Source organism: Homo sapiens, chromosome 11, assembly GCF_000001405.40.
Source record: "Homo sapiens chromosome 11, GRCh38.p14 Primary Assembly".
NCBI classification, from domain to species: Eukaryota; Metazoa; Chordata; class Mammalia; order Primates; family Hominidae; genus Homo; species Homo sapiens.
This window is the reverse complement of record NC_000011.10, coordinates 16,928,672-16,953,939: the sequence shown is the minus strand read 5'-3', so window position 1 is coordinate 16,953,939 and position 25,268 is coordinate 16,928,672. Positions and strand designations below refer to the sequence as shown.

Here is a 25,268-nt window from a genome sequence, read left to right as displayed (position 1 = left end):
ATGATAAAGGGCAAATTATTGTTTTATAAACCTTGTGCCATTTGTCACATTCCTGTCTTACCAGTTTCTTAAGGGAGAGGTGAAAGAAACCCATAAGCACCCTCTAAATCTGCTTTGCATTTTCCTGCACAGTGAAGAATAGACTTTTCATATGTTTGAACAGAAAAATAAACACAAACTAGAAAAACACTGCCCTTTCCAGTCAACCAAGTATACTTACCTTTAGGAGGCAGTGAAAGTGGTGCCCTTAAATACAGAATTATTTATTCAAATATTAAGAATTAATAAATAAAGGGCTCTAATATAAACTTTGTGTAAGTTTTTCTGTGTATTTCAGTGCAAAAAAATATGTAGAGCATAAAATGAAATCTACCTGTCAAGCATGTGATCCAGAATCTTGGTTTTATTACTATTCTGGAAAGCCCCGGTCCTTATCATTTGGTTTAGCTTATTTAATCTTTTAAATTGGAAATAGTGTACAAAATTGTTCTTATTGTGTTCATTTTCTTTTGGCACAAGATCTTAGGACTTTAAGTCTTACAGATTATAGTCACTGTAGGATTCACAAAAGAACTTTCTTATAACTTTCTTTGGATTCTTCATACTCATTTAAAATTTCTTATGTTCGTTTGGTTAATCAGTACAAGGCATTTTGCTGATTACTGTGAAAAAGACCAAGGTTTAAGACTGGTCTCTGAGATTGTAATCCAATAGGAACTAATAGTATCCTCACCATGCCTTTACCTTTGCTGTTTCCTGTGTCTACAGTGTCCTTTCATTGTCCCTTCCTGTGCATCTGGCAACTTAATCCTTAGCCTTTAAGGCATAGCTCAAACTTCACTGCCTCCATGAAACTTTTCTTTGACCTCCCTGTGTCATTTAGGGCAAGGGTTCCCCAAATCTTGGGCTGACCCCTTGGTGGGGAACCTCAGAATTATTGTAGTGTCAGTTGTCAAAAAAATACTATTTTCAAATATATGTAGATGCCATTGTGAAAAAGCAAATTAAAAATTTTTTAAATTTAGTTAATTCATGAAAAAGCTTTGTTGGATACATAGAGGCTTTGTTCTCTTGTGTTTTTAAAGTCAAGAAATACTCAAAGTATAATTACAGGTTGAACATTCCTAATGTTGATAAATCTGTAACCTGGAACTTTGTGAACACTGACATGGTGCTCAAAGGAAATGTCCATTGAAACATTTTAGATTTCAGATTTTGGGGTTAGGGATGCTTAACCAATATGTATTCTGCAGATATTCTAAAATATGCAAAAACCCCAAATCTGAAACACTTCTGGTTCCAAGCATTTCAGGTAAAAGACACTCCACCTGTATTATGACGAAAGTCTGGGAATTTTTTTTTTTTTAAGTTAAAAGTAACTATTCCTATTTGTATTAGTTGGGGTTATGTTTAGCTGCAAATGATAGAAACTCTGACAGAACAGTGACTGAAATTGATTTCTCTTTCACATGAAAGTCTGGAGGTTGTCATCCCAGAACTACTGGGCTGGTCTCACAAAGTCTTCTGGGCCCCAAGCACTCTATGTTTTGCTTTTCTGCCCTCCTTAGCAGAAAGGAGCTTAATATGGCTGCTTGAGTTTTGCCGTCATTTTTATTCCAGGCAACAGTGGATAGGATCACCTCCCTTTCCCCTCTCACTTCCTTAACACACACAGTTACCCCTTTAGGAATACCCAAAGTCCTGCATGGTCCTTCTACCTACATCCATTCATCGGGACTTATTCACACAGCTACTCAGAGTTGCATGGAAATGTCTTTATTCTGGGTTATAAGGTGCCCAGCTAAAATTCACTAAAAATCCTTGCTGAGGAGGAAGAGGGGAACTGATCTTGGGGGACCTGTGTGTATCCATTTTGGGTCAGGCTGGGCCCCACAGATATAGTGCATTAGCACTCAGCAGTGTGGAAGGCTATTTCAGATCACAGTCCAGGTGCTGTGTGATACCTCACAGGTTCCATTCCTCAGTTAGACCTTAGTTTCCTCTGAAATCATACTTGTTTTGTCTCATAGGGATGGGAACTAAAGATAAACAGAAGCACAGAGATGCTAGTAATTAGATATGGTTGAGTATTTATGGATAAACCTTCACCAGCACTTTATCATCCAGTCTCATCCCTTTGGAGCTCCCTAATTTATTCTTCCTTTCTTTAAAATATGCAGCTCTGGACCAGCTCTTCCAAGAGGCATTCCCTGATTAAAACTGACAAGTTACTAACCCAGAAATGTCTCTAACCATCTCCTTTCCCATATGGTTTTGCATTGCCTCTAAACTTTTACGTTTTCATTTACATAGCTTACCTAGATGATGGCATGACCCTGTGGATAAGAGTCTGGGTCTCAGAGTGAGATTGCCTGGGTTTGTATCTGAGTTCTTTTACTTATCATCTCTGGGCCTCCGTATTTGCATTATACATGGGAACTAATAAAAATATCTATCTCATAAGATAAGGATTCAGTGAGACAATCCAGGTAAATCACTTAACCTAGAGCCCAGTTCGTGGTAAGTGCTTGGTAGAATGCACCGTTATTGTTGTTGTCTTCTTCGTCATCATCATCATCATCATCGTCATGATGTCTCCCCTCTTAGACTGATGGAGAGTATTCTCAGCCATCCCTATTCACTCAACTAATGTCAACTGAACACCTTCCCCATGCTGCATGGAGGAGGCTGAAGGGCAAGGTGAAACTGCCTGGGTTCCTATACCAGTATTCCACTTTCCAGCTGTGTAACACTGGGTAAGATACGTAATGCTACCAGGCTTTGTTTTTGTCTTTGCAATATGGATGATAAACTTCATAAAATTATGAAGGATTAAATGAGATAATACAGATAAATTCTGTCTGACACGTAGCAAGCACTCAGTAAATGTTATGATTAAAAGAATAGAAGGATGTTGGGGACTGGTTCCTGGCCCTTGGGGAGCTAACAGTTTTGAAGGTGAGGCAGGCCTGCGATGGATGCTTTCTACACAGTGCAATGAATGCCAAGGTAGAAGGATTCCTGAGTGTCGTGAAAATGCAGTGCAGAGAAAGATGTAGCTGGGGAAACATGAACGAGGAAGTGAGGTGGGGAGGAAACACTTTATCTATAGCATAAAGGCCTGGGAGTTAGGCAAGGGTATCTGAATGAGGGGAAAATGTTTGGGAAAATGTTTGGAAAAAGCTGTTCCATGCAGGGCAGCCCTATGTGCATTGGCTTGGAGATGTGAATGGCTCAGGCTGAGGGAATGGGCAGGTGGAGGGAATGTGGCTAAGGGTAGGCATGTGAGGCTAAGATATCTGTGGGGCCACAATGGCGAGCAGATCAGGCTGGATAGTACTTGAGCATTAGATTGTGGAAGGCCTGCGGACCATGCTTAGGAGTCAGGACTCTATTCTGTATCCAGCAGAGATTTCCTTTTATGAAAAAAAAAAAAAAAGTCTTATCTCTTCCCAAAGGAGAGGAAGTAGGGACATACATACCCTCTTCTTTGTGGGTATGCACAGCCTTCTTATCCCTTTGTTTCCAGCTCCCTGGAACATCAGGGGACAGCTTTGCACCAGGAAGAACTGGGATCCCTGAAACTTCCTGATTGGGATCTCTTTCCATCATTGCTCTGGGTGTTCTTCTTTCATTTCTTTGAAGGCTAGTATGCCTTAATTTGAGACTTCACCCGTAATGATATTCATGTCCATGCCCATTGGTTCTATTTTCTTGCCTCACAGATTCTAGGGCGTGGTATATAGCAAAGGATAAAATCCTTCTCAGCTCTTGGAAAATGGTTCTCAGCGCTCTGTTCTCCCACTGACTCCTCTCCCTGCTCCCTCCCTTCTCTGTGCTCCGCCCCCGCCCCCCGCCCCACACACACTTTACTCTGCCTTCACTCCCCCCTTAACCATTTGCTGTCTGGTTTTCATCCTCCACTCTCTGAGATCTGCTTGGCCTCCTACTCACCAAGTCCAAAGGTTGTTGACAGGCCTAATTCCCATGCCCCTTGTAGAGTTTGACTTTCTTGACCAGTTTCCCATTCTCAGAACCTCATCTTGGCTTGATGTTCTGGTCTCTCCCCTCCCCTCCATCTGTTTGTCTCCAGTTTGGTTTCTCTCCCTCCTCTGAATTTCTGTAGCTCATGATCTCCATGCTCTGACAGCATTTGTTACTTTCTGTATCGTGCCTTGGTTTACATTGGTGATTTATATCCATGTCTTAACTCCTGTGCTAGATAGACTCTCAGGGTAAGATCCAATTCTTGATTCTCTTCTTTATTCCTCCAAGTACCTAGGATAGGCATATAGTGGGCAGACAGACATTGGAATGAATGAATGAATGAGCAAACAATTTTGGGGCATTTGTTATAAGTTAATTGCTTAGCAGTGTTCTCTAAGTGTGATCCACAGGCCATCTGCATCAGATTCATGTGTGTATAATAGAGTGTTTTGTTACAAATGCAGATTTCAGGGCCATACCCAGATTTATTGAACCAGAATCTCTGAGAGTTTACAATTTTCAGTCACACCGCTCCCTCCCCATGTTGTTCACTTTAAAATCTGAGAACTCCTGGTTTCATGGACAATAAACCAACATTATAAATGCATTTCAACTGCTGAGCATCTAGAGTCTTCTAAATGAGGCCTAGAAGGTGAGCAGGACCCTGTGCCACCCCTTCCCACCTGCAGGGGAGATGGGGCTTAGGTGGAAGGCATGGCTTCTGTGTAGTGGTGAATGGTGGGGAGGAGCACAAAGGAGGCAGATGGGGGGGTTACACTGAAACAGATAGACAGATAAAGCTTGCTAAATAGAGATGGGGAGGGGGTAAAGAGAGTGGGAGTTGGGCAGCTTTCTGGGGGATGGAGTCAACATGAGCAAGGCTTAGAGGTAAGAAATCCAGTGTATGGAGTGACAAGGGGTCTGGGTTGTCTGAGTGGACAGGCACAAGGGGAAGCAGAAGAAAGATTCACATCTTAAATGGCTTGAATGCCATGCTGAGAAGCAATGACGTCCTGCTCCAGGGATGATGCTGAGGAGGCCAGAGAGGTGTCTCTATAGACCTGAAACCCACAGGACCTGTGTTGAGGATGCCCTGGAAGCGGGAAAGTGGGCAAGGGCTTCACGGAGGTGGCTGTGGGAATCCTGGAGCTCATGATCAAGTTCTGCTAAAGTACTTCCATCCATGTGGGATGTGAGAAAAGAGCTTCTTGCTTCAAGCTTCTGTGCTTTTCATCTTCTCCAGCTCCTGTGAACTTGCAAGAGAAGCTGAGGGGTGTCTGTGTGTGTGTGTGTGTGTGTGTGTTCCTCCTTCACTCTGTGTGTGTGCACATGTGTGTGCATGTGGGGTGCGAGTATATATGTGTGCATGTATGTGTGAACACATGTATTTGTGCAGATACCATCTTACCTATCTATTCTTTCTTCCTCATCATTACTATGGCCTTACCTTCCTGATGTGAGGGAAATGGAGGGTGAGGCAATGGAGGACATTCTGATACAGTCAGGGGTGTGTGTGTGCTTCACTGACAAAAATTGTATTTATTGTGTATAGCATGATGTTTTGATAGCTGTGGAATGGCTATATTATTTAATGTATATAATATCTCGCATACTTATTCTGTGGTACAAACACTTAAAATCTATCAGCAATTTTTGAGTATACGATATATTGTTATTTACTGTACTCACCATGAGGTACAATAGATCTCTTGAACTTATTTCTTCTGCCTAACTAAAATTATGTAACCTTCAAGCAACATCTCCCAACCCCTCCACCCACCCCAGCCTCTGGTAACCACCGTTTTACTCTTTGATTCTATGAGCTCACCTTTTTTACACTCTACATGTAATTGAGATCATGCAGTATTTGTCTTTTTGTGCTTTGCTTGCTTTACAACATAAATTCCTCCAGGTTTAACCATGTTGTTTCAAATGATAGGACTTTCTTCTTTTTAAAGGCAGACTAGTGTTCCATTATGTATATATATGCATGTTTTCTTTTCTTTTTTTCTTTTTTTTCTTTTTTTTTTTTTTTTTGAGACGGAGTCTTACTCTATAGCCCAAGCTGGAGTGTAGTGGCATGATCTCGGCTCACTGCAGCCTCTGCCTCCAAGGCTCAAGTAATTCTCGTGCCTCAGCCTCCCAAGTAGCTGGGAATACAGGCATGCGCCACCAAGCCCGGCTAATTTTTTGTGTATTAGTAGAGACGGGGTTTCACCATGTTGCCCAGGGTGGTCTTGAACTCCTGAGCTCAGGCAATCCACCCGCCTCAGCCTCCCAAAGTGCTGGGATTACAAGTGTGAGCCACCGCGCCCAGCCATATTTGCTTTTCCTTTCTTTCTTTCTTTCTTTTTTTTTTTTTTAGGTGGAGTCTCGCTCTCTCGCTCAGGCTGGAGTGCAGTGGTGCGATCTCAGCTCACTGCAACCTCCACCTCCCTGGTTCAAGTGATTCTCCTGCCTCAGCCTCCTGAGTAGCTGGGATTACAGGTGCCTCTCACCATGCCTGGCTAATTTTCGTATTTTTAGTAGAGACGGAGTTTTGTCATGTTGGCCAGGCTGGTCTCGAACTCCTGACCTCAGGTGATCTGCCCGCCTTGCCCTCCCAAAGTATGAGGATTGCAGGTGTGAGCCACCACACCCAGCCTCTATTTTTAATTTTTTGAGGAGCCTCTATACCATTTTCAATAATGGCTGTACGAATTTACATTCCCACCAACAGTGTACAAGGTTCCCTTTTCTCCACATCCTCACCAATACTTATCTTTCATCTTTTTGATAATGGCCTCCTAACATGTGTGAGGTGATACTTTCAGGTGTGATTGTACAACCCAGTAGCTGAGAAAACAGTAGCCTAGTCAGTGGTCATGAAAGGTGTTTAAAAATGCCAGGTCCTGTGGGGCCCAGGCCTCTGTATTCTTTATAGGTTCCCAGGGGGTGCTGGCGCAGCTGCGTTTTGGAACCAGCAGCCCAGATGACCCAATCACTTTACCCTTTCACCTGGGGATTAGGGGCCTGCAAACTCCAAAGTTGGAATGAGAGTTTTTAAACTTGAAAATTTCTCCTTCTTCTTCCACTTTGATCAGTGGAGAGGAAAATACCTTACCGAGCAGAATGGTGGCCGAGGGAGTGTTTCCCCTAGGTTGTCTCTGTGGGGGAGGGGGTGTTGCTGGAGCCCGAGTCTAACAGAGTCTAACAGAAAGCTCATTAAGACCCACAGCAAGTTGAGGCCTGTCAGTAATGAGTACTTTTATGCTGTTTTCTACAGAAATTTCACTTCAAAACCTAGAGCCTTCAGATATCCTGATTTGCCATTCTAATTAGGTACTGAAGGAGGGCTTTGTGGGCAGGTTTGTGGCATCCTCTGTGCATACTGATTTTGCAAACCTCTTGGGAAACACTTAAAGTGAAATTCTTTGAACACATCAAAAAAGTCAGCATAAACAAACTAAAATCCCTGTGATTCCCAAACCCTAAAAATATTCTGTGACCAATTTCAAAGTCCCCCCCTCCCCTCCACTTTAAGGTTGGTATAATCCTGCCTGGTCATAGGGAGTGAGAAAGGAGGGTTTCACACGTTCGTTCGGGGAGAGGTCCCAGGGTTGAGGGTTCTGGTGGGTGGGGTGTCCAGTCCTCTTTAGGGCAGGTTATCCAGTGTCTAGATTGTTTGGGAGAAGGTGCTGGGAGAAAGGCCAGAAGCCTCAGCCTGGCTGGACATGGGCTGGCATGGACGCCATCTCTCCTGGCCAGCATTGCCCACCTTTAGGTCTCTAGCAGGAAGAGCCCAGGAGCTAGAAGCAGAAGCACCCAGACGGGGAAAGATCATGGGTGGCGCCACAGCAGGCTCCTGCTGCCCCCATGAGGAGAGGTTGGGAAAGTGAGTGGCTTCCCACTAAGTGAGGAGGAAACGACAGTGGAGGGCATCTTGCCTGTTTGTGTCTGTGGCTCCCTCATGAGCAGGCTGGGATTTTGAGGCTGGGAATGTGTTATACCTTAAAAGCAAAGCAAAGAGCACCGGTTACCTAGATGGGAAGGCAGAGCAGCAGTGTCCTTTGAGGCCAGAGAGTGAAAGTATGAGACTTTGTAGGACTTTTGTTCTTAATCAGGTCCCTAGCGGGCCCACTTCTTGGGCCCAGATCCCTGATGCCTTTGAAACTGCCATTTAATATGGCATTACTGCCTCCCAGCATTGGGACTCCTTCCCTTCAGATCTGCTAAGGACCTCCTAACTACTCCCTTCCCCTCATGTCCCCTCACCACCCCTCACCTCCACAGAGTGCCAGATATTCCTGGATCAAAGTTTTTATCCTGCCCCTGCTTAGAAACTTTATGGAGCTTCTATTTGCCTGGCTGATAAAATCCAGTGATCTAGCCCTCCTTCTCTGCCCTTCAGGCTTTCATCCATCTGTCCATCTGTCCATCTATCCATCATCCCTTACCAAGCACTACAGGACTTTGTGAAGAGGTATTGTCCTTAAGGAACTCTCAGTCTTTTGGGGAAGGCAGACAACAGTCAATTACAGGGGTTGTGAAATCACAGAGGAGAGACACCTGTGTGAAGGGTAGGCCAACACAGTAAACACACTATTACTGGCTAGTAGAATACACTAGATGCCAGAAAGAAACCAGTATTAGTATTAGGAGGAATAATGATAATGAAGCTTTTGCATTATATAGACCTACTTCAAATTAACCTTGATTAAAATATTAACTCTTTTGGGGCCGGGCATGGTGGCTCACACTTGTTATTCCAGCACTTTGGGAAGCTGAGGTTGGTGAATCACTTAAGGTCAGGAGTTTGAGGCCAGCCTGGCCAACATGGTGAAACCCCAACTCTACTAAAAATACAAAAATTAGCTGGGCATGGTGGCACATGCTTGTAACGCAGCTACTCGGGAGGCTGAGGCAGGAGAATTGCTTGAACCCGGGAGGCAGAAGTTGCAGTGAGTAGAGATGGTGCCACTGCACTTGAGCCTGGGTGAAGGGGGAAAAAAAAGTGAACTCCTCTGATCCTTAAAGTTCTTATCTGTGAGTTGGTTAAGGCTTAACAATAACATGAACTTCATAAGATTGTTGTTAAGGATTAACAATCATTAATGAGATAATGTATATTTGTGAAACATAGTAAATGCTTAATAAATATTGGTTATTAACGTTATTATCAGACAGAGAAGAAATTTTCTCCAGGATTCTTGGAGCAAAGTCACTGAAATTACAGAGAAAAACATCTCCAACAATTTGCTCAGCATGAATTCAACAAGTCTTACTAACCTGTCTGTTATGATGTACCTCACATACATAGAAAGAATGATACCAGCAGTCCAATTCAGTGAATGAGGTCTCCTGGGTGAGAATAGTGCCCTGTTTTGTCAAATATGGGTTTTTGCACATTGAATTTTTTTTTTTTTTTTTAAGGAGAAGAACTTTAATTTTTTTTTTTTTTTGAGACAGGGTTTCACACTGTTACCCAGGCTGGAGTGCAGTGGTGCAATCTCAGCTCACTGCAACCTCCGCCTCCTGGGTTCAAGTGATTCTCCTGTCTCAGCCTCCTGAGTAGCTGGGATTACAGGTCTGTGCCACCGCGCCCGGCTTATTTTTTGGGAGACGGAGTTTTGCTCTTGTTGCCTAGGTTGGAGTGCAATGGCATGGTTTCAGCTCACTGCAACCTCCGCCTCCTGGGTTCAAGCAATTCTCCTGCCTCAGCCTACTAAGTAGCTGGGATTACAGGCGCCCGCCACCACACCTGGCTAACTTTTGTATTTTTAGTAGAGACAGGGTATCACCATGTTGGCCAGGCTAGTCTCGAACTCCTGACCTCAGGTGATCCACCCACCTTGGCCTCCGAAAGTGCTGGGATTTCAGGTGTGAGCCACCGCACCCGGCCCACTTTAATTCTTTCAAGGTGGTTTGGTACAGTCATTCCCAAAGAGACAACATCAAAAACACCTGGGAAATGTCTTAAACATGCAGACCCTGAGGTTCTACCTTTCTTCCCATCCCCTAAACTTCTTCATTATTATATCTGGGCAGGGCCTGGAAATCTGTATTTTAAATAAGTGCCTCCAGTGAGTTTTGCTTTTATGCACTTTGGGAACCCAAGGACAGATCCTGGGACTCTGAGGCCAAGCCCTGGGCTTAGTTTCTCCTGGCACTGTCTCTGTCTGCCTGGATGATCTCCTGGTCACGAAGGTTCTTCGTGTCTCAGGGTTATCAGGTGTGAGTGTCTGATGAAATGATGAATGCGAGTACCCATCTCTGTGTGGACTCTGTAAATGTAAGGGATTATCAATACTCTTATTTATTGTAATAATCCCTCCTTCCCATTCCCATTTTCTTGCCCAATGACTTAATCAGAGTCACTCCAGTATAGCATTTATCTTTGAAGCCTGTGGTTGATTTGACAGGATTTGATATAAAATAAGGAGTAAGAGGCTGTGCTTTGGCTCAACAGCAAGTTCTCACTGCTAAAAAGCCTCTGATTCTGCCCTGTCTGTGTACTTTCCTGTATCGGGGGAGGGAGAGACTGTGCAGGTGTTTAAATTGGGACTTGAAAGCTTTAGATTTGTGTTGTCCAGAAAGGTAGCCACTGACCACATGTGGCTATGGAGCACTTGAAATTCAGCTAGTCTGGGTTAAGATGTGCTGTCAATGTGAAATACACCCAGAGTTCAGAGATTTAATACTAGAAAAAAAAAAAGTAAAGTATTGCAATAATAACTTTTATACTGATTACATATTGAAATAATATTTTGGGTTAAGTAAAATATATTATGAAAATTGATTTCACTGATTTTCTCTTTTTAAAAACCTAGAAGTTTCGAAATTGCGTATGTGGCTTGCATTATATTTCATCAGATACTGGTGCTTTAAGTGTTAGGTTAGCTTTGGGAGTCAGCTTAAAAAGTTTACAGGGTTTGCTCTGTTTTCAAATTCAAAAGGTAAATTTTACATTTGAAGTGGACATCTAGAACAGTTATTCTGAATCATTTAACTCAACTTTGAGCGTTAGCATTGTTGTTTATTGTCACTGGTGGTTTTATTGAAGTAGAAATTTATGAAATAGAATCTAAAGGGCATTCAGCAGTTTATCTACTATTTTAAAAGACAGTCTCCTAACCTCTCTGGGAGGGGCAAGAAGAAAGTTGCCTAAGTGGAGAAATTGCTTTGCTTAGATTGAATTTTTATTGCAGAGCTGCAAAGCCCAGAAGACAGCAGTTTACAGCGGCCGCAGCAATTCATTTTTAAACTGTGGGCTTGGAATCAAACTGCTATGAAATACTGATGAAAGCACCATTCACAATCTTCCTTATCATCTTTGGCCTTCTCTCTGCCACTCTGCTTCTTCACTCTCTTCCCCGATGGTGTTTGGGATACTAGTGTGTGAGACACAGCTGGGAACTCACACAGCAGGGCTGAGAAGAGCAGAGTCAGCTCGTCAGCAACAGCTGAGTTGAAGTAGGTGCTAGTCATTGAGTTTCTCTATAAATGGTGGCATTCCTGGGAGTTCAGAGCAGTGAACTTGAAAATGGTGATGCTAAAGGCCCCAATGTCTACTTCACAGTAGGATTATGAGGAGAATAGGAAAAACCAGAGGCAGGATGTCAGGGATGCAGAAGTGGTTGATAGTAGAAGCCCAGCCATTAGCTGTTGACATGGCCTTCAGGGCGTCTCCTGCAGGCCTCAAGTCTTTCTCCTTAGACCTGTTCTAAGGGAATGGATTGGTTCTGTATAGTCAATGAGGCACAAAATCTGACCCCCCAAGTTTGAATTTGAATTCCGCTATCACTAGCTGTGTGACCTTGGGAACACCACTTGAGTGCTCTGTGCCTCAGTTTTCTCGTCTGTAAAATGGGCTTCATAGAACCTGTGGTGAGGGTTAATTGAGCAAATACATGTAAGATCCTTAGAACTTACGCGTGAGTAAACACTCTGTAAACACTGGATTCATTCAGTTAGCAATATTTATGCTTCCATGTACCAGGAGCAACACTGGGGTACAGCAGTGAACAAGGCAGTGGAAATCCCTTCGAGAGAGGTGCTTTCAGCAGAGGAGTTCAAGATGTGTTTGTTGCTTATAATTACCCATGCTTGTGCACTGGCTGAGGGGCCTTCACACATAATGCTGCTTTACTTTATGTATTAGGTTTTGACATAGTAGTCTGTTTTTTTAAGGTTTTAAGTACAAAACTTTGGATTTTATTCCTAGCTCACCCACTTCTTCATGGTATAATCTTGGGCAAGCTACATAAACTCACTGAGGCTTCATTTCCTCATGTATAAAAAAGCTAATAAATAATACCTTGCTCAAAGGAGAGTGTGAGAATTAAATGTTGTATTAAATAGGATAATGCCTATAAAGCTCTTAGCATATACTTGGCTCATAGTAAGTGTTCTGTAAATGTTAGCTATTATTGCCATTGCTTCTAGTTCTAGAAATTCTATGAGTCAGTGATTCTAAATTAAGAGGTCACTAGGCTGGCAGAAGGGGAAATTGAACCAGATTCTCCTGTGGTGCCCCTTTCTATGAGCTAAGTTGTTCATGAGTGCCTTGGAAACCATCTTCCTTTTCAGAGAAAAACAATAGAGATCCAGGTGTTCAATAGAGCAGCCCAAAGATAGATAATGAGTCTCTCATCATTAGGGGCATCCAAGCTGGACGACCAGTCAGCAGGGATATTATAAAGGGATGGGCCCTGAGCTTGTGGATTGCTTCCAGCTCTGAGATTATGGAGCCTTTGTTCATTAACATTTGACCCATCTGGGTAAGGACACCCTAGGGAGGGGTACCCATTTTTGAAGAGCAAAGAGTGACCTCAGGGATTTGCCACCTCCTTCACCCAGCCAGTAAGGGAAGCTCACTTGGACATCGCTTCTACTACTTTTCTTCTCCTGAGTGTAGTTATTTCTTGGAGGTAAGTGCTAGGGTTGAGTTGGAGAAAGACATGCCACATCTTCACTGAATCGTTTATCCAGAGAGTGGAGGGCACCTGGTTCTTGGTGTCACACTCAGCCCTAAAATTCCTTCCCTAGGGGATGGAATAGATAGAAATGACTTCAGAGCCACCTGGCTAGGGAGGACTGGGCCTGTTGTCTACAGCCCTGGGGAAGCCACAGGCAGCTTTAATTCAGGGCTCCATCACTCCTCCCCTTTTGTTTGCCACTCTGTACTTGCCTATGGAAAGTGAAAAAACAAAGGCACTATGTTGGATTCATTTGTCCTTTAAAAAAACAAACAAAAAAAGGTAATTATCTTCATTTTTGAACACTTACTGGTTATGTCAGGCAGTTTATTCACTTTTAAAGGAACCATTTCTTGAGCATCTACTAGTACAAAGCATCTGTTAGCCACCAGAGAGAAAAACAAAAGAGGCCAGGTGCAGTGGCTCACGCCTGTAATCCCAGCACTTTAGGAGGCTGAGGCGGGCGGATCACCTGAGGTCAGGAGTTCAAGACCAGCAGCCAATCTGGTGGAACCCCGTCTGTACTAAAAATACAAAAAAATTAGCCAGGCATGGTGGCACCTGCCTGTAGTCCCTGCTACTCAGGAGGCTGAGGCAGGAGAATTGCTTGAACCTGGGAGGCAGAGGTTTCAGTGAGCCCAGATCACGCCATTGCACTCTAGCCTTGGGTGACAGAGCAAGACTCTGTCTCAAAAAAAAAAAAAAAAAAAAAAACAGCAGAAGAAAAGATCTGAGATACTTCTCTTCCCTTACCCCAAAATAGTTCTTCCATTTTTTCAGAGTACCTACTATGTGCCAGCCACTGTGCTAGGGGCCAGAGACACAGGGCTGAGAAGACACAAGTGGTACTTCTTCCCCTGGAAGTTACAGCCCAGTAGGGGAGATAGGAATGTTAAAGTTTTGATTGTTTATGAAGAGGGAGACAGATCCACACAGCTAACCCTTCTTGCCCCCAGCACCAGTGGCCCTGGCTTTGGCTTGGCAAATGTGGTACCATTCTCTGAACCATTGGGTTTCTTACTCACTTCCTATGGTGATGTCTGGGTCTCATCAGATCTAGGGGTCAGTGAAATGCAGCTGGTCTGTTACCTCTGCCCAGAGAGCTCAGGGTGAGTCCCCAGTCCCTTCACCCCACACACATTTTCTATCCCAAGGCACCCTTTCACTCTTCATAAACTTTGCAGCAAACCAGAAATTCTCTGGCTCATTAATAGAAGGAAGGCCTTGTTGGGGTGGAGTAGGGTATGTTGCCAAGCTAATTGGTTTGGGGAACATGAGGAGAGAAAACACGAAAAAAATCAGTGGCCCTGAATGATTTACTTTGTGAGTGACAGCATCTGCATAGTTTTAAAACTAGAATCTGTGCATTGCCTGTGCAGTATTTCTTTAACTTTAAGCATTCCTGTCTCACCTCTGCATTTTTGCAATACCCGTGTAGTATTTTTCTTTAAATTGACTCAATAAAAACTAAATACGTAAATTTTTAAAATTTCCTATTATTTTAATTAATCTTCATAGCTTTTATCTATGTTGTATAGCTAATATTCATAGTATATTTTTTCTTTTTATTTTTTTTCTTTAGATAACAGAGCCTTGCTGTGTCACCCAGGCTGGAGTGCAGTGGCACGATCTCGGGTCATTGCAACCTCTGCCTGCCAGACTCAAGCAATTCTCCTGCCTCAGCCTCCCAAGTAGCTGGGGTTATAGGCGTGCACCACCACACCTGGCTAATTTTTTGTATTTTTAGTGGAGACAGGGTTTCACCATGTCGGCCAGCCTAGTCCTGAACTCTTGGCATCAAGATGATCTACCTGCTTCAGCCTCCCAAAGCGCTGGGACTATAGGAGGGAGTCACTGTGTCCAGCTTATAGTATATTTTTTCAAATGTTCTTGCCACATTGTCAAAGATCTTGGGCATCCTTAGGTATTTGCTCCATTTAGGAAGATTCTGCCTAAGAAATTCATGAATATTCCTCTAGGAGATCTTTGAATCTTCTAAAATTCAAAATTGTGTTTATTATTGTAAAAAATTGTGTTTGTGTATTTCTTTCCTGGGAAAGACAGTCCAAAGCTTTATTCAAGCAAGGACCAGAGAAGGGTAAGAGCCACAGTTTGTGGTTTCTTGAATTGTGTCTGATTATTATTTACAAAAATTTCATTTTCCCAGGAAGAGGAACATTGTTGTTGTTGTTTTTTACAAGAAATGGATGTTTTATTCCTAAAGCATTCTATTTTTTAATGAGGTGCAGATAAACTGCACATTGAAAAATGGTCTCTCCCACATCTCTTTCTCATCTCTATTCTGTTTTCGGCCTTCCAACATGTGAATGTTAATCACTATAGGAGGAAGGTGACTATTTTCTGATCCAAAAATCATGATGTATGGTCTGATTAAGGATTTTTATGTATATATCATGCCTTTCAAAGGTATAAAGGGAGAACTTCAGTTACACATTTAATGAATTTTCTTTATTAAAAGAGAAAAATTGAAAAAAAAAGTGAGGGGGGCACCTATCTTAGAATATTGAGAATGTAAGTTCACTAAATGTATTAATAGACCAGTAAATGTTTCAGAGAAAAAAATGAGCACAAGGAAAGCTACTCGTTGGGGCATAAATACATGATAAAGGGGCTATGGGAAAAAGCACCATCATTCTAGATCACACAAATCAAACAGAATGCACCATTTGTATAAATGCAGACGAAGCCACGTGTCTTTCCCTGCTTCTAGGGTAACACACCAGCAAGGGGACACAAAGGGCACCCTGTTCATTCTTTCCATCTCAACCCCTTAACCTTAGGAAGAATATTAGAACATTTGTGTTTGCATCCTGCCTCCTTCCTCTGAAGGTCCATGAACACTAGATACAATGATAAAATAGAAATAGGAATTTGAAATCAGGACTAGGGAAAATATAAGTAAGAGGAAAAGGACAAACCCAGGAGGTTGGGAAGAATACGAAGGCACTCACATTAAGGGTCTGTGTTTCTGCTGAGCTGCACATTTGACTTGGAGCTTCCTGGCAGCCAAAACAAGAAGGAAACAGGGTAAGCTTTCTGGATTTTACTGTTAGAAAAGAAAAACATCGTCTGAGTGCTGTGGCTCACACCTGTAATCCCAACACTTTGGGAGGCCGAGGCGGGTGGATCACCTGAGGTCGGGAGTTCAAGACCAGCCTGACCAACATGGAGAAACACCATCTCTACTAAAAATACAAAATTAGCCAGGCATGGTGGTGCATGCCTGTAATCCCAGCTACTCAGGAGGCTGAGGCAGGAGACTCGCTTGAACCTGGGAGGTGGAGGCTGCAGTGAGCTGAGATGGCGCCATTGCACCCCAGCTTGGGCAACAAAAGTGAAACTCCATCTAAAAAAAAAAAGAAAAGAAAAACATCCTAGTTAAGGGATAGCTAAGTGCTTCCTAGTTTGTTTCTTTAAGTTAAATTTCTTATAAACAAGGTCCTCTTCAACTTTCTTCTTTGTCTTATTCACTCCTCATTATATGGCTCCTCAGACTGGGCCAATTTCTCAATTTAGGTGGCTATGATACAGATGGTCGTATACCTCTCTTCTGTAGTGTTTATCATAGATGTACATTCTCATGTGCTTAGATGATTATTTTGAAAGCTTGTGTTCTCTACTAGACTATATACCTCATGAGACTTGGGCCATATTGTCCTCAGTGCCCAGCACAATCTTGGCACATGGTATACCCTCAATAAATATTTGTTAGAACAAATGAATAAGGCCAAAGCATTCAGGGATTTTATGTGACTGATTCTTGTAGTGTCTTCCCAGGAAATCAAGGCCCTTTCAAGCGTGCAAACTGTCTCTTGTCCAGAGAGCTTGGTGGCCATCTCCAAGCTCATTTTACTCCACGGTTATTAACAATTTGGAGATTGTTAATAACAACGACTCCAGGTTATTAACCTGCTATAAATCCAATCCTGTAATTGGTACTTGATACATGTTGCTGGTAGTCCTCAAAGATGAGGGAGACTGAGGCTCAGGGGGAGGGAAACAGCTTGCCCAAGGTCACATTGCTGGAAGGCATGCTCTTTCCTTTCTGCCTGCTGTTTCTGAGCCAGAGCTACAAGTGTCTGTGTGAGTTATGGGTTCTTATCTCTTGGCAATTAGAGCAGCTCAGCAAAGGTATTTCTGGCACAGGCCATTGCTGCTTTCTGACAGCTGCTACATTCCAATATCGCCTGAGTTTAGGGAAAAGAAAGCCCACACCTGGGGTTGGCAAAGATAGTCTCAGAACTCATTTTCCCTGGTTTCTGCACATGGTGAATGTGTTTATTGTTCTTGTCACACTGTCTCCTGAAGTGCAGATGCATTAAAGTTGAATATTATTTTCATAAAAGCCACTGGAGAGAAAGGGAGAGAAGAGGCATGATTCGGGTGTCTCCAGGAATATAATTGGATTTGCCCAATGATTGGGAGAGTGGAGGTGGGAAATGACAACATGCCAGGAAGTACATTTGATGGTGCTTTTGATTCCAAATTTGTTAGGCATGTGTTTTTAATTGCTTTGTCCCTGTTGTCATTATTCTAATAGAGACCTGATTTTTTTTTTTTTTTTTTTTTTTTTGAGACAGAGTCTCACGCTATTTCCCAGGCTGGAGTACAATAGCATAAGCTCGGCTCCCTGCAACCTCCGCCTCCCGGGTTCAAGCAATTCTCCTGCCTCAGCCTCCCGAGTAGCTGGGATTACAGGCACCTGCCACCACGCCTGGCTCATTTTTTGTATTTTTTAGTAGAGACAGGGTTTCACTATGTTGGCCAGGCTGGTCTTGAACTCCTGACCCTGTGATCCGCCCACCTCGGCCTCCCAAGGTGCTGGGATTACAGGCATGAGCCACTGTGCCCTGCAGAGACCTGATTTTTCAAAAGGGGTTCATTATCATATTAAACTTTCTCTATTCAGCAAGGTTGGCAAATGGGATGTTCTCCTGGCTCAGTGTTGCCACCTACCGTGTGCTGCATAGATTGTCAGTCTTCAAAATATTAGAAGGCAGTAAAACACATTTCAAACTGCAACAAGGCATAATTTGATCCGTCTGTTCTTCCACAAGGTTGCAAGTCTTCAGGGTGAACATTATAAGCATCTGTCATCACTGTGTGCTCTTGGAGTGCCAAGATACTGGTTATAGTGAATTCTGGTGATAAAAAAAATGCTAGACAAAAATACCACTTTTTCTTTGGTCCCTTGAGAATGAGCCTCAAAAACATGTGCTGCTTGCACATGGGGATCTGAATAATTGCAACATTCAGGATTATGTAGAGAGAGTATCCCTGAAGAAGGCACTTAGGGTGGTGTTTGCAAATGTCACAAGGCTTTCAGTTCTATCTTTGGCCCCCTAGTCTCAGTAAGGATTTTGGCTCATATCAGTGATTTGGAAAACCTAATAACTTTTATGTCTCCAAAGTTGTGTTTCCAGACTGCTGGCTATTTCATATTTTAAAGCATGTTTCTACCTTTAAAAGGACACCAGAGAATAGCAGTGGGCACTGACATGCCTTTACCCCTCCCCACACTAGAAAAGGACCGACACATTTAATCTTTTTTTTGAGACGGAGTCTCACTCTGTCACCCAGGCTGGAGTGCAATGGCACGATCTTGGCTCACTGCAACGGGTTCAAGCGATTCTTCTGCCTCAACCTCCCGAGTAGCTGGGATTACAGGCATATGCCACCATGCCCAGCTAATGTTGTATTTTTGTGGAGACGGGGTGTCACCATATTGGCTAGGCTGGGCTTGAACTTCTGACCTCAGTTGATCTGCCTGCCTTGTCCTCCCAAAGTGCTGGGATTACAGGCGTGAGCCACCATGCCCAGCCTCACATTCGATATTTATTTGTGGATAGATTTAGGTTCTTTTTCCCAATTTCCCCACAGTAGCTTTGACAAGTCTTATTTGGAAGAAGTAACACAGTTACTGAACTGGCGTCTTGTTCCTAGTTTGAATGGTAAGAGCCAGAAAATCGCCCATTCACATGTAGTACATTAAGATTTCACCTACTTTCCCCAGAAATTATTGTTTAGGCAATTAGGGACAGAAAAGTATGAAAAATACAGGTGCTAATTATAACCAGACTCTTTTTTTTACTGTAAGAGATAAAAATTTCAAAGTATTTTACATATTAATTAGGATATTTCCTCCCCTTAACCTCTAATTAATATCCACAGTAAACAACCTTTATTAATTACATGAATCTGAACATTTAATATCCAGGAATATGAAGACCATACACTGAGTATTCATTTATTGCTTATCCTGTTCCACAGTGGATTTGAGGTAACTTATGGGAAAAGGGTGAAATATGGATAACAAAATAAAACAATCAGGATCAATAGGAATATAAATTATATTAGGAGATTAAGCCTAAGGAGACAAGGAGAATGGCAATAGCCTGGTACTGTTTCTGTTTAGGTAAAAAGCCAGTTCATTGGACAAGTTGATGTAGCCATTTTTTAAAAAGCGACTTGGAAGCTACTCTGGGTTTTGGAAAGCTCTGTGTAAACATGGGCTGCTTCATGTTCCTGACATTTCAGCTGAACTTTGAAAATTGCTTTTTTTTTCCCCTCCAAACCTCTACCTGACCCCCAGCACACACCCACTTCATCTGAGCCAAGGAGGTGTCAATTCTAAAAGTATTTTATCAAGCGAGGTTGGCATTTTTCTGGAAATGCTGTAGCCTGAGTGCCAGCAGGGCATTTGGGAAGCTTATTTTGGAAACCCTTTCATTATCATGGCACTCAGGCCCTTATAAGTGGTTCCAGGACCTCATACCCTGATGGGCTGCAGTGATAGGAGGACCAAAAAAGGGAGTGTTGAAGTGGAAGGGGACGGTGAAGTCCTCTTCTCCCAAGCCGGCAGGAGGCACGATAACTTATCTTTCTTCCACGTCTCCTGTCTCCAGCCTCTCCTCCAGGACCAGAGGGCTTCCTGTTGCTTTCTGGAGGCCTGGTTTGCTGGAGGTCATCCTGAAAGAATGCTGCTCAGATAGGCTCCCAGGAAGCTGATGCAGAGGATGGGGCTGGGAGGCAGACTTTGCTGGATCACAGAGGGTTGCCTGGGCAGCGTGCTCTCAGCCTTGAACAAGTTACAATCTTGTGCTGCGATTTGGCTCTGCTCTTGCTTGTTACAAGCCACTGAAGGTCTCTAGCTGGGAGAGCCACTTTCTCCCTATACCCAGGAAGGATTCACAAGACCATGAGATGCCACTGATTACATCTTCTGCCCCCTCCCTGAATGGAGACCACCATAGCTCACTGGCTTTGTGACTTTTCCTCTTGGACGTTTAATCAACATGTCAAACTAACATGTCCAAAATAGAGTTCTTGATCAATTTTAACACCTCTCCTCCCCTTTGACTTGTACTTCTCCCAGGCTTATTCATTTCAGGAAACAGTGCTGGCATCCACTCAGTTGCTCAAACCAAAACGCTGGAAGTCTTGTTTTTCTCTTTCCTTCTCTCCAGTCATAAATCCCATCAGTGAGTCCTGTTGGCACTACCACTAACACACTTGGCAAAGCTGAATCCCTCCCAGGAGTTTCACTGTTGCCATTTTGGCCAGCCACTGTCCTCTCCTGCCTGTACTGCTGCAGCAGTCTCTTTAGCTCATCTCCCTGCTTTTCCCCACTTCTTTTCAGAGGCATTGGCATGGAACTGTAGTCAGACTGGCTTTGCATACTGGATCCTCCACTTACTGTGATAGGCAAGTTACCTGACCTCTTTATGCCTGGGTTTTGTCATCTGTAAAACTGGGACTATAATAGTACTCATTTCAAAAAGTTTTCATGAGGATTAAAGGAGATCATACATACAGAGTTCTTAGGACAATTCAGAGCACATAGCTAAGCACCGAGTAACTATTAGGTTTTTATCGTCCTTAATCCCCGGGCCATCCTCTACATAGAAGATACAGAAATCTTTTTGAAAAGCAAATCAGATTATGCCTCCTTTCTTTTAAACCCTTCCATGGCTTCCTATTGTCTTTGGAAGAGAACCCAAATTCCTACTAGGTATTATAAGGCTAACCCGACTCCCCTACCTCATCTTTTCCTACCCTTCCCACTGGTCACTGAGTTCCAGCCTCACTTGTCCTTCTTCCTTCCCAGGAACAAACTTAGTTTATTCCCATCTATTCTTGTGCCAGGACAGCTCTTCCCCTGGGTCTTAGCTTAAATACCACACCTTAGCGAGGTCTTACCTGATACATACCCTGACCTGCACATATCACAGTTTGGTTTCTTCATAGCACATGTTAATATCTGAAATATTTTGTTTGCTTATTTATTATCAGTATTTCTGTCCCTCTGTCTCTTCTGTCACTACTACATCTATGGTGGTTACTAGTCATGATTTGTAGAAGGCCTGAAAATAAATGTTTATTAGTTGACAGGTGGGGTGTGGCAGCTCATGCCTGTAATCCCAACACTTTGGGAGGCCCAGGCAAAAGGATTGCTTGAGTCCAGGAATTCAAGACCAGCCTGGGCAACATAGCAAGGTCCTGTCTCTACCAAAAAAAATTGAAAAATTAGCCAGGTGAGGTGGTGTGCACCTGTAGTCCTGGCTACTGGGTGGGGAGGCTGAGGTGAGAGGATCACCTGAGCCCAGGAGTTGGAGGCTGCAGTGACCTATGGTCATGCCACCACAATCCAGCCTAGGTGACAAAGCAAGACTTTGTCTCAGAAAAAAAAAAAAAAAGGAATGAATAATGATAGCCATCATTTATTTAGTACTATTGTGTCCCATGCTATTATACCATTCTGTTATTTAATCTTCATAATAATACTACAGAGGTAGGTATTTTTAATCCCACATTAGAGTTGAGGAATAGTGGCTCAGGGAAGAAAAAAAATTATCCAGGGTCCCCCAGCTGGTAAGTGGGTGAGCCTAGATTTTAACTCACATCTATGAGAGTTCATGGAGTTTATAGGTGATAACACTGGTGAGTTGAGAGCATTCATACCTGGCTTATGAGTACAAGATGAGACTGTGCAGGTGTCAAAGGTATACCATCTTCATCCTTTTAAAATTTAACAGTTTTATAGACCTTCCTGTGTGGCCAATGCTTTCTTTACTTGTATTTTCCTCTTTCTGGCACCTTTCATCGTGCCCTAGTTTTGTAATTTTGGAGAACTAAGAATCCAAAAGATATCCCAAGAGGTTCCAGTTGGATTCTGTTCAGCTTCTTCTTCTTCCCTTTTTTTTTTTTGGGGGGGGGGGGATGGAATCTCATTCACTCTGTGCCCCAGGCTGGAGTGCAGTTGTACAATCTCGGCTCACTGCAGTCTTTGCCTCCTGGGTTCAAGGCATTCTCAGCCTCCCAAGTAGCTGGGATTACAGGCGCGCCACCATGCCCAGCTAAGTTTTTTTTGTTTTGTTTTGTTTTGTGTTGTGTTTGTTTGTTTTGTATATTTTTAGTAGAGACAGGATTTTGCCATGTTGGCCAGGCTGATCTTGAACTCCTGACCTGAAGTAATTTGGCCGCCTCAGCCTCCCAAACTGTTGGGATTACAGGTGTGAGCCACTGTACCTGGCCTCAGCTTCAATTATGAATTAATTCAAGCCTCCTTAGGTGACTCTTGCTAGAAGGTAAAGGTAGACAGGTATATTAGGTCTTTCTGGCCTCTTGTCTTAGAATTTCTCAGTGTGGGTTCCAGACCACAAGCAGCCAAATCACTGAGGGTTTGCTAAAATGCAGATTCCTGGGCTCACTCTAGACTTTTGGCATTCAATTCTCTGGTGGTGCGCCCCTGAAATCTTCATTTCTAACGTGGGGTTGTTCTGGTTAAAATATAAGTATGAAGATCATTGGCCATAGTTGTTCTAGCTTATTAGGTGTTTTGTGATTTGGTTTTGTTCTTTGATTTTAAAAAATCAATAAAGCTATTTATTAATTGTTTTATTAAAACTTGTATTTAGATAGCTTTTGGTCTCTGGCCATGGAGCAAGTAGGCTTTTTTCCCACCTTAATGGCCCCTAGGTGCCAGGTGCTAGGCCCAAGTTGTCTTCCTTGGTGGTGTGCTCCATGTTTCCAGCTTAGGTGCGGCAGGGAGCCTCATTTCTGTCCCTGAGCTGTTGCCTGGTTCTAAGGCACTGGCCAGCTCTCCAGTGGGTGGACCTTCTGATGCATTTGGTCCCGTTAAAATTATTTTTAAAATTCAGGTTTGTTTCTGTTACTTTCCTCCCAGAAGCAATTCTGGAATGATCAAAATTCCCAGCGTTTAATGTTTGTATTTTCCTCCCCTCTGTTCACTCTCTAAATAAAGGCCTCATGTTTTAATAGACAGAATAACAGTAAAATTAGCTTGATTAGACTCTAGGTGGATTTAAAATGTAACCTAATGGCAGCTCTGTCTGGCTTGGAAATCATGCGTTTTATTTTGAGCAGAGAATGTTGGTATTTGCAATGACTGGTAAGGGATTAAATGATTATTGAATTAAAGTGGTCAAATAATACAAGCATCCCTTATCTTTAGATCCTGTCCTGGTGGTTTTGCCTATTGTATTTTTATTTTTTATTTATTTGATTTTGAGACAAGGTCTTTCTCTGTTGCTCAGGCTGGAGTGAAGTGGCACAATCATAGCTCATTGTAATCTGTAGCTCCTGGGTTCAAGAGATCCTCCTTCCTCAGCCTCCCAAGTAGCTGGGGCTGTAGGCAGGTGCCACCATGCCCATCTACCTATACTGTTTTGAGAAACTTGGGCCCTCAGCTTGGAGTTTTAATCCTATCTGCCTTCAGTCCTTGGATTAAGAGTTCCTGGGTAATGCCACAAGAGAAAGTCAACAGAGTTGTCTTTCTTACCTCTGTTCCTTCCTCTGGTCTATGAGCCCTCTAGGTTCTTGGAAAGCTCAAAATGTGAAGCAAATTGTAGTTTAACAGCCTTGCGCCAAAGCATCCACAACTGGCCAGCTCCCTGCTCCCCAAAATATCCCAGCACATACTTTATTTTTATTTTTATTTTTATTTTTTTTTGAGACGGAGTCTCACTCTGTTGCCAGGCTGGAGTGCAGTGGCGCAATCTCAGCTCACTGCAACCTCCACCTCCCGGGTTCGAGTGATTCTCCTGCCTCAGCCTCCCGAGTAGCTGGGATTACAGGCACACGCCACCACGCCCAGCTAATTTTTTGTATTTTTACTAGGGACTGGGTTTCACCATGTTGGCCAGGATGGTCTCGATCTCTTGACCTTGTGATCCACCCACCTCGGCCTCCCAAAGTGCTGGGATTACAGGCGTGAGCCACCACGCCCAGCCCCAGCACATACTTTCATTAAATAATAATCCCCTACACTGAGGTGGTGCAGTTCCTTTTGTTCAAAAGCTTTTACATCCACCCCCTAAAAGGAAAGTAGGGGCTTTATTAGGCTATTTACCAAGAAGCGGGGGAGGCAGAGATCACCCAACCAGTTATTACTGAGCCCAGTCTTATCTATGGCTTGCTCTTATTCAGCTGATTCTTGCCTGTGTGCTTGGTGGCACACCAGGTGTGAGAAAAGCAAGGTGAACAGTTTTGGGTTCTTAGGACCAAGAGTATATGCAGTATATGCTCTCGGCTTATTAAGAACCCAGAATATTTGGTAGAGAGTTTTGGGAGTAGGGGACAGACTCATTAGCTGATGGTCATGGCTGCTTCATGTTGGAACCTTTAGTTTAAGCTTCTGAGCATTATTATAAGCATAGCCCAGGAGGTAAATGTAAAAATAATTTTCTTGCCAGTTTTTCCTGCATGGTATCCTAGCGACGATGTACTTTCTGTCCTTGGGTGTTGGGGCACCAACTGGGGCCGTATCAAAGCTTGCAGAGGGAAGGAATATGAAGGGCATGGTCAGTCACCCCTTTAAAAGTCAAGGCATAGTTTCTTTTTAGTTTATCTTTTGGAGAGTTTTTTAAATGCAGTTGTTTTTAAGCAGCATTTTATGTTGTGATTACCAAAGTACTATATGTTTATTGTCTGACAACTTCAGAAACACAGAAAATTCCAAAGGAGGAAGTAAAAATCAACTGTAATTCTGACATTGTTAACATTTTGGTAAATATCCCTCTAGTAGTCTTTTATTTATTTATTTATTTATTAACTGAACTTTCAAACAATGATTAGGTTCTAAAATTATAGTGTATGGTAAAAAAAAATCTCATAAAGTCAAATGTACCCTAAACTACCATGGACAGTAATTTTTATGCACACTAAAATTAGGCTTAAGAGCAACAAAAATCTACATGAGGGCCAGGTGCTGTGGCTCATGCCTGTAATCCCAGCACTTTGAGAGGGCAGGGCGGGAGGATCACTTGAGCCCAGGATTTGAAA

At 43.0% G+C, this 25,268-nt stretch overlaps 1 protein-coding gene across 22 annotated transcripts in view, besides 2 other annotated features; it reads left to right on the top strand.

The window, feature by feature from the left end:
• PLEKHA7 (pleckstrin homology domain containing A7) overlaps positions 1-25,268 on the top strand; it is a 237,118-nt gene that overhangs the window by 60,475 nt on the left and 151,375 nt on the right. The gene's annotated exons all lie outside the window — the stretch shown is intronic.
• Positions 7,881-8,120: an enhancer, noted in NCBI's record as "active region_4482". NCBI's record gives its function as "activates an Ori minimal core promoter by ATAC-STARR-seq in GM12878 lymphoblastoid cells {active_cell/tissue: GM12878}" and the evidence as "EXISTENCE:reporter gene assay evidence [ECO:0000049][PMID:35858748]".
• Positions 17,591-18,102: an enhancer, noted in NCBI's record as "OCT4-NANOG hESC enhancer chr11:16957385-16957896 (GRCh37/hg19 assembly coordinates)". NCBI's record gives its function as "activates a minimal SCP1, AML or CMV promoter by ChIP-STARR-seq in primed H9 embryonic stem cells {active_cell/tissue: H9 hESC(primed)}" and the evidence as "EXISTENCE:reporter gene assay evidence [ECO:0000049][PMID:30033119]".